Raw genomic sequence first — 15,576 nt, forward strand, 5'->3', positions numbered from 1 at the left:
GAAGGAAGGAAGGCACTATGCTGTTTTGACTTTATATTCCCAGGGCTAGCACAGAGTGGGAACTCAATAAGTTCTGTTGAATGAATGGATGTGCTATCACTGGAAGATGGCTATAGGCTACATTTTAATACTTCTTTAATAGATCAAGACAACGGGACAGTTAGAATGCCAATAGGCACTTCATTAAAGCTGGAAAGTTGTTTCCAAAATTTACATAGCAATACAAAGGATCTAGAATAATTAAACATAATATTGAAAAAGAAGAACAAAAATGAATGACTACCTGATTTGAAGGTTTACTAGAGGAAAGCAGTAAAAAAGGCAGTGTGGTATTGTCATAAGGACATACATATAAACTAATGAAACAGAAAAGAGAGTCTAGAAATAGATCCATACTCATGTAGACATTTGATTTCTGACAAAGTCACCAAAGCAATTCAATGAAGAAAATGACAGTCTTTTCAACAAAGAAACTCTTTGCAACGAATGAAAGCCTTTCCAACAGTCTTTTCAACAAATGCTGGTGGAACAAATGGATAAATTTGGAAAAAATAAGATTTGATCCCTACCTCACACAACACCAAAAGGTAACTCAAGATGGATCATAGACCACAATGTAAAAGTTCAAATTATAAAGCTTCAAAAATAAAACATAGGAGAAATAGTGGCAAACATGGGCAAATAGTGATTCATGTGAAAGTCTTCATGTGGAAAGAACATTTACTGGGGATGACTATTAAAGAACAATGAAAAAATTTGATTTTATAAAATTTAAAAACTTTTGTTACTTAAAATATGCCATTTATAAAATATAACTACAAGCCATAGTTTGGGGAAAATATGTTCTATACATATCTGACAAATGAGAGGTATATACACAGAGCAACTATAACTTAATAATAAAAGTACAAATGACTGAATAAGAAAATCAGTAGACTTGAAAACATGCTGCATATATATATATATATATAGCCAATAAATGTATTAAAAGATGCTCAAAATCATTAGCCATCAGGGAAATGAAAATTAAAACTACAATGAAATGCCACTATATACCCATTTGATTGGTTAAAATTAAAAAGGTTCAAGACATCAAGAATAGGTGAAGCTGTGGAGAAACTGGAACTCTCATATGTTGCTGGCAGGAATGTAAAACAGTAGAGCTGCTTTGGAAAACTAGCCAATTCTTATAAAGTTAAATATATACATACTTTCTGATCTAGGCATGCTCTCTTTAGCTATTTACTCCAGATATATGAAAACACATACACAAAAACACTTGTACAAGAATGTTTATAGTAACTGTATTCATAATAGCTTCACATTGGAAACATCTTAAACATGCATCAATAGGTGAATGGATAGACAAATTGTGATATACAATGCAATAAAATACTTCTTAGTAATGGTAAGGAAAGCATTGAAAACACATGTAACAGTTGATGGAGTAAGAGAAGCCAGCCCTATTTCTACTGTGTGAATCCATTTATGTAAAGTTGAAGAATAGACAAATGTAACCCATTGCAAGAAATCAGAATAGTAGCTACCTAATGAGGTGGGGATTGACCGGAAGAAGCACGAGGGAAACTTCTGAGCTTGTGGAAATGTCTATATTTTGATTGGGGTGGTGATTACCCCAATCAAAAGTCATTGAATTGTGCATTTAATATCCATGATTTTTTACTGTATGTAAATTTTACTTCAATTAAAAAAAATCCTGTAACTAACTGTAATGAATAGTATGAAGCATATAACTACCGATATATGAATGTCCTTTGGTATATATATGACCCAAGCTCTGATAGGGGTGGGTAATTAGACTCATTTTTCATGATAACTATGACCACAGGAAATTATTAACCTTGTCTCTCTCAGTATCTGAGGATGCTCATTTGGCCAAAACATATTTTACTAATTGACAATAATGAGAGAAATAAGCAAATGTGGACTGAGAGAGAAAACTGAGATTTCAAGGTCTCCAAGTGTGGCCTGCTGTTTTCATTGCCATACCACTGCTGCATGGTGTAGAGCTGGTATAGAACAGGCCTCAAAAATATCTGAATTAAAGGAATGGACGTATGAGAGAGGGAAAAATGCAGAGCAGGAGGAGGAAAAAGGGAAGGATGTAACAGGAGGAGACAGGGGAAAGAAAGAGGGTATGAAGGGAACCCAAGGTGCATGAAGCTGTGCATATCCTAAAGGGCTGAGCTGGCTTTGCTTTGCTCCTTTGCTATCCATCTATCCTGGGGATGCTGGCCCCAGGAGACCAGAGCAGCACCAACCGCTCAGCTTGGAGGGAGTGCTGTAAAGCATCCCTGTGCTTCAGAAATAGCCTGTGTGATTACAGAATAGCTGCAGCATTGAAACCTCATTCCAGGAAGCAATTCAGGGAAAGCAGACATTTAGATTGCCCATGATTATCACATTCGAGAGATGCCTTGTAATAAATGTCTGTTTTTCTCCAAAAATATGGGGTGAAGAGGCATAAGAAATGTAAGCTTAATAATTGAGAAACCAAGCTGTTTGACCACAAATGGAAACTTCATTACACTGCTGGCTTTTACCATAAGAGAAAAAAGATAATGTCTGAGCAGTTCATCGTCCCCCCACTGCCCCCACCTGAAAGAGAAGGATTGAATCAGACAGGACATGTAAAAGGCATTATATCTGTATCCAAGGAGCTCATGTGACCGGGAGAGAGGACAGACAGAGGACAAATCCAGGGGAAATAGAACATTGTGTGTGAATTAGTGGGGCCAGGCAACTCATGACCCACCCCCAGTGCTACCAGCAACCTTGGATAAAGTTACTTAACTTCCTGATGCCTCAGTCTCTCCACCTGCACTTTGGTTATTTATGGAATGGATTTATGCAATTTCTCAAAAGTGGCTATGAAGATACTTTCTGTTAGATAAATTCTATTTTCCCACTGGCTTCCAATATATCTGTCAATTTTTTAAAAATCTTCAATGAACAGAAATGAAAATCCCTGGTGAATAAGGTGACCTTATGGTATTGTTTACTTTGAATACATTAGAGAATTGCTTTGAGTCTGTACCTCTCATTCATCATTGAATTCCCTGGGTCATTTTAGAATCATAGAAATGACTTTCATTCTTAGAAATACCTTGACTTTAACTTTAATGGTTTTCTAAAAAATCTTTTTAGAGTTGGTAATTTAGTACTTTACTCTGTTGGACTACAGTAACACTCTTCATTAATATAAATCAGTGGATTCTCCCAAAGTTGTCACCCCGAGAGCTCCTACTAATTGATATGCGTTACAATTGGAAAGGTTGCAAGGAACACCGGAGGCTTCTGCCTTTTTCTGCTGTTCCAAACTGAGAAATTTCATTCCTGATATGAATCATAGAAAGAGACAATAACACTTTTAAATAAAAGCTGATAGGGTTGGAGACCCAGAAGCTCTGGATGGAGACTCAAGTCCATGATGGAACCTACATCTGGCAGTGGTCACCACCTGGGGAATTTTGACCTCTAGGCATCTGTGGGTTAGTAATGCAGGTAGGCTGTTGTCGCTTTTATAAAAGACCAGATGGAAGTTGTATCTTTACCCCCACAAAGTGACACCGAATCATATTCAGTGTGGTCATACTCATTATCTGGTAGAGATGATTACCACCACCGCCACCATCATTAGAAGTTCCCATTGGCAGTTATATAAATCTGACACAAGAATGGGGTAACAAGGTATTATTACATAATCATGATTTGTTTTGATAGATGAACTTTTTCAAAAATTAAAATCCATATGGGTAAATGTGAAAAAGTTCCTTGGTGATTTAGAAATGCCAAGGACAATGCCCATTGAGCACCTGGGTCCTCAGATGTATCTACGACCGTTCACTCCAAAAAAAGAGGTTTAAGCTGCTTTATAAACCAAAGGATGGGTTAGATATTGCTTTGTAATTAAAATTTTTCTTAATAAAACTGTTACGAAAGTACCTTGTGACTGGTCTGTATGATCAAGGAATAAACTTTAGAAATAAATACAAACTTTATATATTTATTTCTGTCTTTACAGTTCATTTGGGATGACTCAGGTGTGAAATTTCTAATCAAAGTGAACTTTTAAATGTAATCTGAATATTTATAATTAAGGTTTGTTGCATGAAGAGGTTTGCTCAACGTGAAGCTTCCTATAAGATGACCAAGTAAACAATTGAAAGAAAATGAACAAAACATGGTTTTATAGTTAACCCCTTGAGGAGCTGCTTGGCAAGATATAAAAGTAGTTATGTCATTACTGTCTTTTTCATGCATGGAAAGAAAAAAATCTTTCTAAATACTGGGACAAAAAGAGGGGGAGGAAAAGATGGACAAAGGGAAAATAACTTTATTTTCTGTTTATCTGTAGGATCACAGATGCATGAGGATCAGAAGCACTAAAGTCCATTTCATCTCAAAGGTCTACAGTCATTCATCTTGTACTGTGTCCTAGAAAAATCCAGGACCTACTCCGAATTGTGGTCAGTTTGATTTACTAGCTGAAGTTCAAGATTTTTTTACAATGCTAAAGAGTACATCGAACATCGATTGGTTAAAAAAGTTTAGTCATGAGTTAGTTCCCAAAAGGCATAGTCAGAGCAAAGTATTAATGGGGATTAATGATGGCATTGTGGTTCGATATTAGCAAAAGGCCAGGGTTAAAAATAAATGCATACATCTCAAGGGAAGCTGGATAGTCCAGGATGGCAGCAGTACAAACACTGAAATTTAAAAATATGTAACTATATTGACGTTTTTTTCTCTCCTCCTACTTTCCTAATTTTCTCATTAATATTACCTTTTTTCTTACTACAACTGAATCAGAATACCATGGATCAAGTAACTGTAAATGTTGAGATCCTATGGAATAAACTTCAGTTGTGTCAACCTTAGTTTTCTGAATTGCAAAACAAACAAGCCCCCAGAAGAGCAAATAACCCTCTACTACATTTTTCTTCAGTGCTTTTGGTGACTAGCTGTTTGTATATAATTTCCACCATGGAGAAAGGGTTTCTTCAAATAATAGCATGGTTAATTACTGTGGGACCTCAGACATTCTTCTATCTTTTGATCCAATGTTTAGTCCTGGGAAACCTTTGAGCTACATTTGAGAGATTTGCTTTCCCATACAACCCTATGCTTATTTCCATCACAGAATTTGCCATGCTGAGCTAAAATTTTCTATTTACTAGTCTGTGTTCTCTGTTAGACTGTAAGCTTTGTGAAGGCAGAAACTTAATTTTGTTCACAATTGTACTCCAGTGTTCAGACTGGTAGATTGCCATAAACATTTGTCAAACAAATGAGTAAATACTGAGTGTTTTACCACCATCACCACCACCACTACCACTATCACCACCATCATAAATCACCACCACCACCACATTACGCCATCACCACCACTACCACCATCACTCCCACCACCATCACTCCTACCATCACCACCACCATCACCGTCACCATCTCCACCACCACCATCACCATCATCATCACTATCACCACCATAATCACCCTACCATCACCACCATTATTATCACAATCACTATCACCACCACCGTCACCACCACCATCATCACTAACTCTATCACCACCACCACCAAACACCACCACCATTATCATATCATATTTGGTACCTGATCGTCTTTGGAAGCTCATTCTCCAGGGCCCCAGTGCCTATGGCTATTTAGAATCCTCTGATTGATACCTTTCTTCACTTATTCCCCATTTTCAATAATTTGCCTCATCTGGGCTCCATTCCCTTGGGGCTCTCTTCTTTTCTAGGAAATGGCAATTCAATCTTACATAATTATTGTGTTATTGGCAATAACGTGTTGATAGTGGCCCTCTAAGGTAATATGATCTGAGAGTAAGGACCATATCTGGTTTCAGCTCAGCCACTTATTTGCTGTGTGACTTTGAGTGAGGGACACCACTTCCAAGGGCTTCTGCTTCCTCACCCAGAAGACTCTTGGAGAGTCCTCCCCATTGCACACGCTGGTTCAGCATGTGTTTCGACACAGATCCTCCACTGGTAATGCCTTGACCCACTGGAGCAAATATGGATGGAGGTGGTACATGTAGGTGTGTCACAGTGAATAACGAGCCTTTATCTGCAGTAGCGGCAGCCTTTGCAGAAGCAGCTGCATCTCCTTGGGGGAAATTCTCTGCCCATAGTTGCTGCCAGATCCTATCAGTCGGGAGGCAGGAACAGGCATAGACAGGTAACCACGCCGCAGTAATGCCAGGTGGTTGCACAGCCTTCCCTTTTCCCCAGAACCATGCTGCCCTTGTCACAATATGTCACGGCCCACCTTCTTTGATAGTCTGACTCAGGGCTCAGAGTCCATGTCTGGCTTATTCACAGAAACTTGGGGCTAGCAATAGAATGCTTTATTAATGCCATGTGAGGGAAGTAAGTGTTCGGATGGCACAAAGTTAAGCATTCTCCTTAGCTTTCTCTGGCAATTTTCCTGGTGGGAACTGTCACATCAGAAATGCATTGAAAAGAAAGCAGCAATCAAGCAATGCAATTTAAAGGGAGAAGTATAACTGTGGGCAAGTTTCTTCATTTTTTCTAATTGCTTCTCTTTTTTTTCTTTTCTCTCTTAAATCAATCTGCAGTATAGCTTGGTAAAATGCACCACTCAGTATTTAAAGGAGCCTAAGCAAAAGTTAGCTTATGTAAGGTTATAATATCTCAGGCCTAATCTCTAGATGATGAGAATACAGGATTTTGGACTTGCTTTCTCCTGGGAAACTCCAATAGCCCCAGGCTGTCCAGATTGTCATAACTTTTCCTACTTTTACATCAAAGTGAAATAACAGCAACTCAATATAAGAACAAGGGAAGTTACTGAATGTATAAAGGAAAAAATAGAAGAAGGGAGAGCACTATTTTGAAGAATAAAAGAGTATTCTTGCTGCCAATGTGGTTTGAGTACAGAGACAAAATTTCACTTTAAAGACAAAGATGCGAGGCCAGCAGAGGTGAGTTATTTACCCTGGGTCACATAGTAAGTTAATAGCACAACCAGAATCAAGGTCCAATCCCTCGACACGAGCTGAGTCGCTTCCCATATGATGCTGCCTTCACTTTCTTTTCAGTCAAGGATGAAAACCAGCAGGTTTTGAGTGAGTTAGGAAGACAGATTCGCTATGCAGGTGAGAAGAGAGTGTTACTTACATTCCATAGGTGGAGAAACTGAGTCACAGAGGGGTTTAGTGCTGTCATCCTCACTAAGGGTGATTTTTACCCCCAGTAGACATTTGGTAATATGTGGAATCAGTTTGAGTTGTCACAACTGGTAAGGGAACAGTTATGACAACTTGCATCCCCCAGGTAGAAGATAGGGATGTCGTTAAACATTCTACACAGGACAACCTTCTACAACAAACAATTACCCAAGGTCACATACAATAAATATAAATATACTGAACAATAAATATTTTTATCTGGGGATTGTGCACTTAAAATCCTTTTGAGATGGAGTTTTACTCTTGAGTGCAATGGTGTGATCACAGCTCACCACAACCTCTGCCTCCCGGGTTCAAGCAATTCTCCTGCCTCAGCCTCCTGAGTAACTGGAATTACAGGCATGCATCACCATGCCTGGCTAATTTTTTGTATTTTCAGTAGAGATAGGGTTTCTCCATGTTGGTCAGGCTGGTCTTGAACTCCTGACCTCAGGTGATCTGCCCGCCTCGGCCTCCCAAAGTGCTGGGATTACAGGCGTGAGCCACCGTTCCTGGCCCAAATTCAGATTCTTATTATGATTGAAAGTTTGCACAATTTGGGTTATCGGTGCTTTTTTCAACATGCACCCACCTGTTGCCTGAAAACTCCTTGCCAACCTTCAGTGCTAGACTTGTCCTGGACCACAGTAAGCAAATTTGTCTTTGGGGCCCCAGTCGTGTGCTCTGCATCTTGTCCCCACCCAGCTCCACTCTCTCCAGATACCCAGCAAAGACTGGTCTGCTCATCCTCACTGTTTCCCAGCAGCAAGTGCCCTCAGGAAAGTTCTGCCTTCCTTCACTCTCACCTGGGGATGAACTGAGATCTATGTGCTATTTCTTCTGGAGAGTCCACATGCCACCTATACCGCTGCTCTGGCATTTGCAACCTGCGAATGGGATTTCTAGCCTCTATGACCAGGCTGGGAGGTGTTTGAGAGGAATTCAGAACAACTCTGCACCAGCCTCTGTTTTACCTGTGAGGCCTGGGCCCAGCCCCTGAGAAAACACACACAGCTCTGTCGCCCTGCAACAGGGTTCTGGCTAAGAGTCCACAACTTCAGAACATTTTCTTGTGGGCTCTCTAGGCACATCTTTTCATACTAATAAAGTCAAATCATTCATTGAGAAATTTAAAGATTTTTTTTGTCTTTGTTCTTTGTTTAACTGCATTCAGAAATTTCATGATAGATTTCCAGGATTTGTGAACGGGAGAGTATCTGCCTGAATGACCAAAGAACACTTGATCTTTCCTCTGTGTCATTTTTTAAATTGATTTTTGGAGGCTCAGTATTTTAGCTTTTAAAATTATTAAAACGGAACAGATTTTGGAAAGATTCACAGAGGTATTCTAAGGTTTAAAGGAGCTAATAGAGGTGAAAGTGTTTTTGAAAACCATTGAATATTTTGTGTATATAAACAAGGGTATGACGGAAATGGAAATATTGCTCAAAATGTCTCAGGTCAGGACCTCTACCCCTTAACACCCAAATTCTCCCCCTCCAAAAATAAAACCAAACCGTTTTCCAAATGGATTTTCTCTGTCTAGTTTTAAATCTTTTAATTGGGATATAAATTTTCAAACTTAGAACTTCATAGGCTTTACATGATTAATAAAATCTCAGGGCAATTTGCATTAGGAGTATGTGTGCTTATTCAATAATTAACAGCTTCCGCTTAGCCAGCTGCCACCACAGACACATTAGGTTAACTGCTTCCTGTCTGCTTCTCTTTTGCACTGGCTTCTGCTAGGCAGTGATTTCTGACTTCTGGGTGCGTAAAAGTACACACAGTGTGTGAGTAAGCTTATGCTGATGAGTGTGCCATTTTAGAATGCTTAAGAAGGAATTAATTTAAATTTAACCACTGCTAGCTGTTGCTTCCTTTCTTACTGCAAAATTGTTATGGTAACTTCAAAGAAGAAAAAGAGAAATCTTGTGGGCGAAACAGTAAAAATAGTGATCAGATGCAAGTCTAATATATTTGTTATAAACGGTCATGACACTTTGGTAAACATTTCCCAAATTCAACATTCCCCCAAATCTTTGGAATTCATTGGCTTCCCATTATGGAATGTAAATGCATAGGAAACAAAACTGCCTTTACATGTTGGTTTCTATTTTTACTTTTTATGCTCTGCTGTTTCTTAAATTCACATGTAGCTTAGTTATTAATAAAATAAAAGCCACCATTCTTAAAAGCTAACCAGAAATTATATTTCATATCATTCACAGTCTAATATTTTTATATTAACAATATTGATTTCATTTAGCTCAAAAGAATATACAAACCAAACTCAAACATAACATTCTTTCAAAAAGAGGATTTCTTAGAAAACTTAGGGAAATTGGTAATATAAGTATTTCTTTTTTTCAGTCTTTGATTGTTTGAAATACCACCCAGTTTAACATTTCTTCAGAAATAATCTACTCTTCAGCCAGATTGGGTCTACTTCTCTGTACCAACATCTGGCTCTCCATGTTGGGTACATTGATATAATCCAGGACTGCATGGGTCCTGGACATCCCATTTAATCCACGTCCTATGCCTGGCCCACCCTTCCCACTCATGGGAGTTCTATCTCCTTTCTCAGAAAGTTGTTCCACTGCAAGATCTCTGCATTCTCAAAGTTGTTTTAGGATATCCTGCAGAGAGCGGCATGAAAAGTAGAAAATGTCTAGATTTGAAGTCAGCAGACCGGAGTTCTAGCTGTGGCTTTGTCACTGAAAGCTGTCCTTACCCTGTGTCCTAACTTGTAAAAGTGCATGAGTAATGGCTGCCCTACTTACCACACAGGATCCTGCAAAGAATCAATACCCACTTCGTAAGTGAGAAAGCCCTACAGTGACACATCCTTGTGACAGGAGTTAGGATGAGATGTAGCCATTCATTTCTTCACTCTTACTATCAGTGTGAAAATTGAGAAAAGCTGTGCCTTGCACATCTTCTGTGCACCTTGATGTTTGGTTGATCAACTGTTTGATTATAGTCATTGACATTTTTGTCATGATCACTCCTCAGTCTCTAGGCAAGGGGTTCTTAAGAATAACTGGTCTACAGTATCATTATATCTATCATTGTTTTCTAAAGCCAAAGAAACATACAGTATTGAGACGATAATTTTGTTTTATAGCACATGATAAGCTCAGAAAATTCCAGGAGCTATAACTGGGTGTCAGAAGCTAGAATCTTACAAATGAAAGTTTATTAAGTGTAAGTCATCATTTCAGCAGCTCTTAATGAACTGGCATATATACTGAGGCAAATGACAGGTGTAACAGATTTTAGGTATCAGTAATTGCTGCTTACCATTGCAGACCCCACACGGCTGACTTTGATGGGATTCCCTCTTCCAGAGAGGTCCATTTGTGCTCTGTCCATCACATACAGGCAAGTGTCCAGGATGCCATCTTCAAACTATTTGGAGAAAGAAAAACAAAGAGAAACTAGTGTTCACTCTGCAAGCAAAATATTCTCTGATGAAAAATAACATGAAACCACAACCTAATGTTTAGAAATGTGTGTTTCCTGTATAGTGATCTCCCATAATCTTTAGTATGAAATATTAAAGTAGAAGGAATGAGACATCTTCTTTTGTTTTTCATTAAAGTGAATAAGAATATAAAAGCAAGCCAGAAACATAAACAGAAATACTAGAGAGTTGATATACTCAGGGATCATAAGCTGACTTGAAGTTCTTCAGAAAATGATTCAATTTAGAAGGTCTTTTCAACATATTGGCTCCTGTACCCAAGAAGAAGGAATGAATCATTTACCAAAGTCAGGCCAGAGTCTTAGGACCTCGAAAGTAATGTGAATCCTCGTGCATTTAGAAAATAAAGAGCTCTCAGGTGTATCACAGGAAGGTGCTTCACACTACTTAGTTTGCACCCAAAATAGTAGGAGACCTCATATAGTGACTGTCCCTCTAAGGTTTCCCCTCTTCTGAGACAAGGTGGACCCCAGGATCAAGGAGAGGGCAGAAGGCTGCAGAAAGTAGATTACACTATCAAGGGAGGAGTCTGGTACCAGTTCAGTCTTCTTAGAAAGAACTGCTAGCCACAGGCAATACCAGAATTTTCTTAAAAAGGAATAAAGATCAAATAGCAAGACAGGAAGATTTTACCTATACTGTACCTCACTGTAGTAAGAGATTTTCCTGAATAGAGAAACCTTGTGTGCTATCCACCCAAGTGCTTGTGACAGAAACCACAATCATAATGGCTAATTACCACACAATTCTTTATTCAGTCCAGTTAGAATACCCACTCTGGGTGTATCCCAAACTGACAGGATGGATGCAGTAATGGGTAATTGCACTAGTTCTTCAGGTATGCAAATAGCTCAGTATTTTGGTTCTTATTAAGCAGCTTCTCTCAGCTGTGTTTGCTGGGCAGGATAGCAACTAACTGGAGAGTTAAGGAAATAGTCATAGAACGGATTGATTCCCTGCATCACTGTAAACATGCTTGGCTGGTTATTCTGGCCAAAGGATACACACCAATAGCCTCTTTGAGTGGCAGAAGATACAATCAAGTGACTGTGCTCCAGGGTGCCTACCCAAAGGCAAGCTGGCGAAGAGTGCCCTGACTGGGCTTGGGACACTTTTCCAGACCTCCTTGCTGCCCACCTTGATGACTTTTCCCCTTGTTAGCTATCTATAGATTGTCATATTTGGGCCATAAATAGAATCACCAGGCTAAAGGCTAGAAATTGGGGACCCAAGACAAGGGCATCAGGCAGTAGGCAGTATAGTCAAAGGTTGCATGTCACTGAGGAGGGGATGGCTTGAAACCAGGGAGTCAGGCAGGAATCCAAGAACAGGGGGTGCCAACTAGCTTGTAGCTTGGCAGGACATTAGAAATGCAGGCGGGGAAGCCTGAGCACTGGGCATGTAATTCTCCGGAGTCAGGGAAGCTGTTCACAAAGCCAGGTAGGCAGGATAACACGGGTACTGGAGCAGTGGGTAAGGAACACAGGGAGATCCCATATGGAAGTCAAAGCAAGGCATCCGGAGCCAAGAAAGTACCCTGTGACCACCAGATTCCATGAAAACTCCCTGCTGGATGCCCAGCGCAATGATGCACAGTTCCAGCCATCCCAGCCAAAACTCCTGAGAAATGACATTCGCCCCCGCTTGTGTCGCTAATTAAAAATCATTTTGAAATCACAGGACATGCATTCATTTATGGAAAATTGGTAAAATATCATTCATTTGCTCCATTGTTAAAGATACCAAACTGAAATAGTTTGAATGACTGAACATCTTAAAGAAATGCCATTTGCTACTTTGTGTCTAGACAATCAACTTGCAGCTGATAAAATCTTTCTATGTAAAAGCTCAGTGGCCCTTCCTTTGATGAAATGATAACACTCTTTTCTAATTAGCAGTACCCTAGGCTAACACTTAAAAAAAAAAAAAAAGAAGCTATTTCTTTGAATTGGGCACACCCCTTGCAGTATTCTTTGCATCACTTTGAAAATACCTTTCTTTATAAGCCAGGTTGAACTAATGAGATTTCACTGTTCTAAGTGGCCAAAGCATTTCTCAATAGAATGCCACATTATTCATGGAATCTCTCATTTCTGTAACACTGTAATACCCAGAGATATGTGGTTTCAGCTGATAAATTACGCAGTTGTCTTTATGAGTCCCTACTCCTATGCTCTCTGCCTTGGAGTCTCAGATCCTAAAAAGCAGGAAATTGTGCTTGTCTAATATCGATATATGGGATCCTGTAGGGATACATGTGACAAAAAATATGAAGTAAAAATGTCCTTGACAATAACAAATTTTAAGTGGCTCACCTGACCATAGCTCCAGCTTCTGGTCTTGATGTCATTGACCTCTCCATAAAAAATTACCCCGATGTCATTCAGGACATACTCTTCTCTTTCTTTCTCATTGTCCAGATACACAGCATCATCTGCATCAGGGTTTAAACATAGTGACTATTACCAAACCAGACTGTTTCCAAACACTTGCAAGTTTATGCAAGTTTATTTTGTTTCTAAACTACATTTAATCAGCCAAATTTTTAAAAAATGCCCTTTGTTTCACCAAGCATAGCTCATTTCCCAATATTTTTAGTAATGGTGAACATAATCAGCACCAAATTCAGTCTGTAAATGATGACATTTGTTAGCAAAATGCTGACGAACTCTGGCTCTTTAAGTTCCAAGCAGCAGAATTAAATTGATATGTCTCATTAAACATTTTATGATTCTGTTGCATCAGTAGTTTCAGAATTCTATGATGCTGATGTACGTCTCTAACACTAATTAAAATATAATTTCCAACCTTTTAACATTAATAGAAAACTAGATGAATTGAAAATGACTTTTAAAACAAATCTGGGACACGTGAGAAGGCCCACGTGTCATGTCTGTTTTGTGGCCCATCACTGGCAGGAGGGAAGCAGTAGGTCATCTCCTTTTAATGAAAGATACTTGTGAATGTGCAAGTATGTGTGTGTGTCCAACCAGCTTCCCTGGCCAGTGTCTTTCATTGCAAGGACTTTTCTTCCCTGTGGCTAGAATTTCAGGAGGATCATCCTCCCCGTCTATCATCAGTCTGGTACTTATTCCCAGGCCTGGTGGGAGAGCAGCAAAGCATCTTTAACACAGACAGGACCCTACAAGTGTAAATCGCACTCAGGAAAATGTGTGTGTTTGGGACAGGCATCTAAGCGTTTTTACACGAATTCTACCTCAAGGTAACGAAATAATTGATTATAATAAATGCAAAAGGAATGGTAGAATTAGAATGTCACGATCTTGCAATCCCTAATGAAGTAACGAATTGAGGCAGAAATAATTCGTTAAGAAGAGAACTTCGTAACGGGTGGATGAGACTGATAAAACGTGAACCAGATACTATTGACAAACCTAAATATATGTATCTTCTGCCAGGATGAATGTCCTAGGAAGCAATGGCGTGACTTATGAAATATTTTTGCCCCTTCCTCCAAAAAAAAAATGCCACTTGGAGCTGAATCTGACAGAGTCTGTAGATCTAACCAGCTGCTTAACAGAAAATGCCACAGTGGTTAAAAAAAAATCCCACAGTGGTTAGAGAAAAATATTTCATGACACCGGGGGATGGAATCAGCAAAATTCAGAATATGGAAAGTTCTACATAAAAAATGACTCAGTTTCAGCCATAAGTTTGTGGCATGAAGAAACAGATGAAGAGGATTACTCTAGAGGAAAAGATTTAAGTGACATACCAACCAAATTTAATCTACAGACCTTAATCCAAATAAACTAACTAAAAAGATAATTTTTAGACATTGGGAAAATTAAAGATGGTTCATTAGATAATACCAAGGAGCTCTTGTTGATTTGTATTAGCTGCAATAATTATACACAAACACACATAAACACATACATACACACATATGTACATATGTATCTATGTATACTGTATATATGTCTATTTTTAAAAAGCTACACGCTAAAATATGTACAGGTAAAATAATATGATTACTAGAATTTACTTGAAAATGCTAAGGCAAAAAATAAGGAAAAAAGGGATAGATAAAGCAAATGTGGCAAAATCTTGATAACCATTAACTCTGAGAGTCATATAAGTAGATATTCATTGTGCTACTCTTTCTGCTTTTGAGTTTATCTGAAAATATTTATAAGAAAAATTAACTTTGTCAAAAGATATAAAACTGAAATACAAAATGAACACATACAAAATGTTTCCAATTGGATGTGAACATTCAGTAATGTAAAGATATAAATTCTACCCAAATTAGTCTATATGACCAATGTGAACCCAACCAAACTTCTACTCAGAAGTTTTGGAACTTTGCATGCTCATTCAAAAGCTTATCTGGAAAAAACAATGTGAAAGAAAACAGCCAGGCAGGGCGTGGTGGCTCATGCTTGTAATCCCAGCACTTTGGGAGGCTGAGGCAGGTGGATCACTTGAGGTCAGAAGTTTGAGACCAGCCTGGCCAATACAGTGAAACCCCATCTCTACTAAAAATAAAAATATAAGCCAGGCATGGTGGTGTGTGCCTGTAATCCTAGCTACTCGGGAGGCTGAGGCAGGAGAATCGCTTGAGCCCAGGAGGCCGAGATAGCACTACTGCACTCCAGGCTGGGCAACAGAGCTAGAATCTGTCCCAAAAAAAAAAAAAAAAAAAAAGAGAGAGAGAGAGAGAGAAAATAGCCAAAAACTAATATGTTGAAAAAGAAGAAAGATTGAAGGACTTGCCCAAAGGTAAATTAAACTTTGGACCCCAATTTATAGTTTCCTGCATCTATGCCCTTTGCCATGTAACTAGCAGTTCTTCCCTCTAAATGTGGAATATCCTCTCTTAA

At 38.8% G+C, this 15,576-nt stretch overlaps 1 protein-coding gene across 1 annotated transcript in view; it reads right to left on the reverse strand.

The window, feature by feature from the left end:
- F13A1 (coagulation factor XIII A chain) overlaps positions 1-15,576 on the reverse strand; it is a 176,579-nt gene that overhangs the window by 93,680 nt on the left and 67,323 nt on the right. The window contains exons 5-6 of the mRNA NM_000129.4: positions 13,048-13,166; positions 10,549-10,656 (exon numbers count right to left, since the gene is read on the reverse strand). Coding sequence (NP_000120.2) covers positions 10,549-10,656; positions 13,048-13,166 — 227 coding nt within the window. The remainder of the gene's footprint in view (positions 1-10,548; positions 10,657-13,047; positions 13,167-15,576) is intronic.

This window comes from Homo sapiens, chromosome 6 (genome assembly GCF_000001405.40).
Source record: "Homo sapiens chromosome 6, GRCh38.p14 Primary Assembly".
In the NCBI taxonomy this organism is placed as follows: domain Eukaryota; kingdom Metazoa; phylum Chordata; class Mammalia; order Primates; family Hominidae; genus Homo; species Homo sapiens.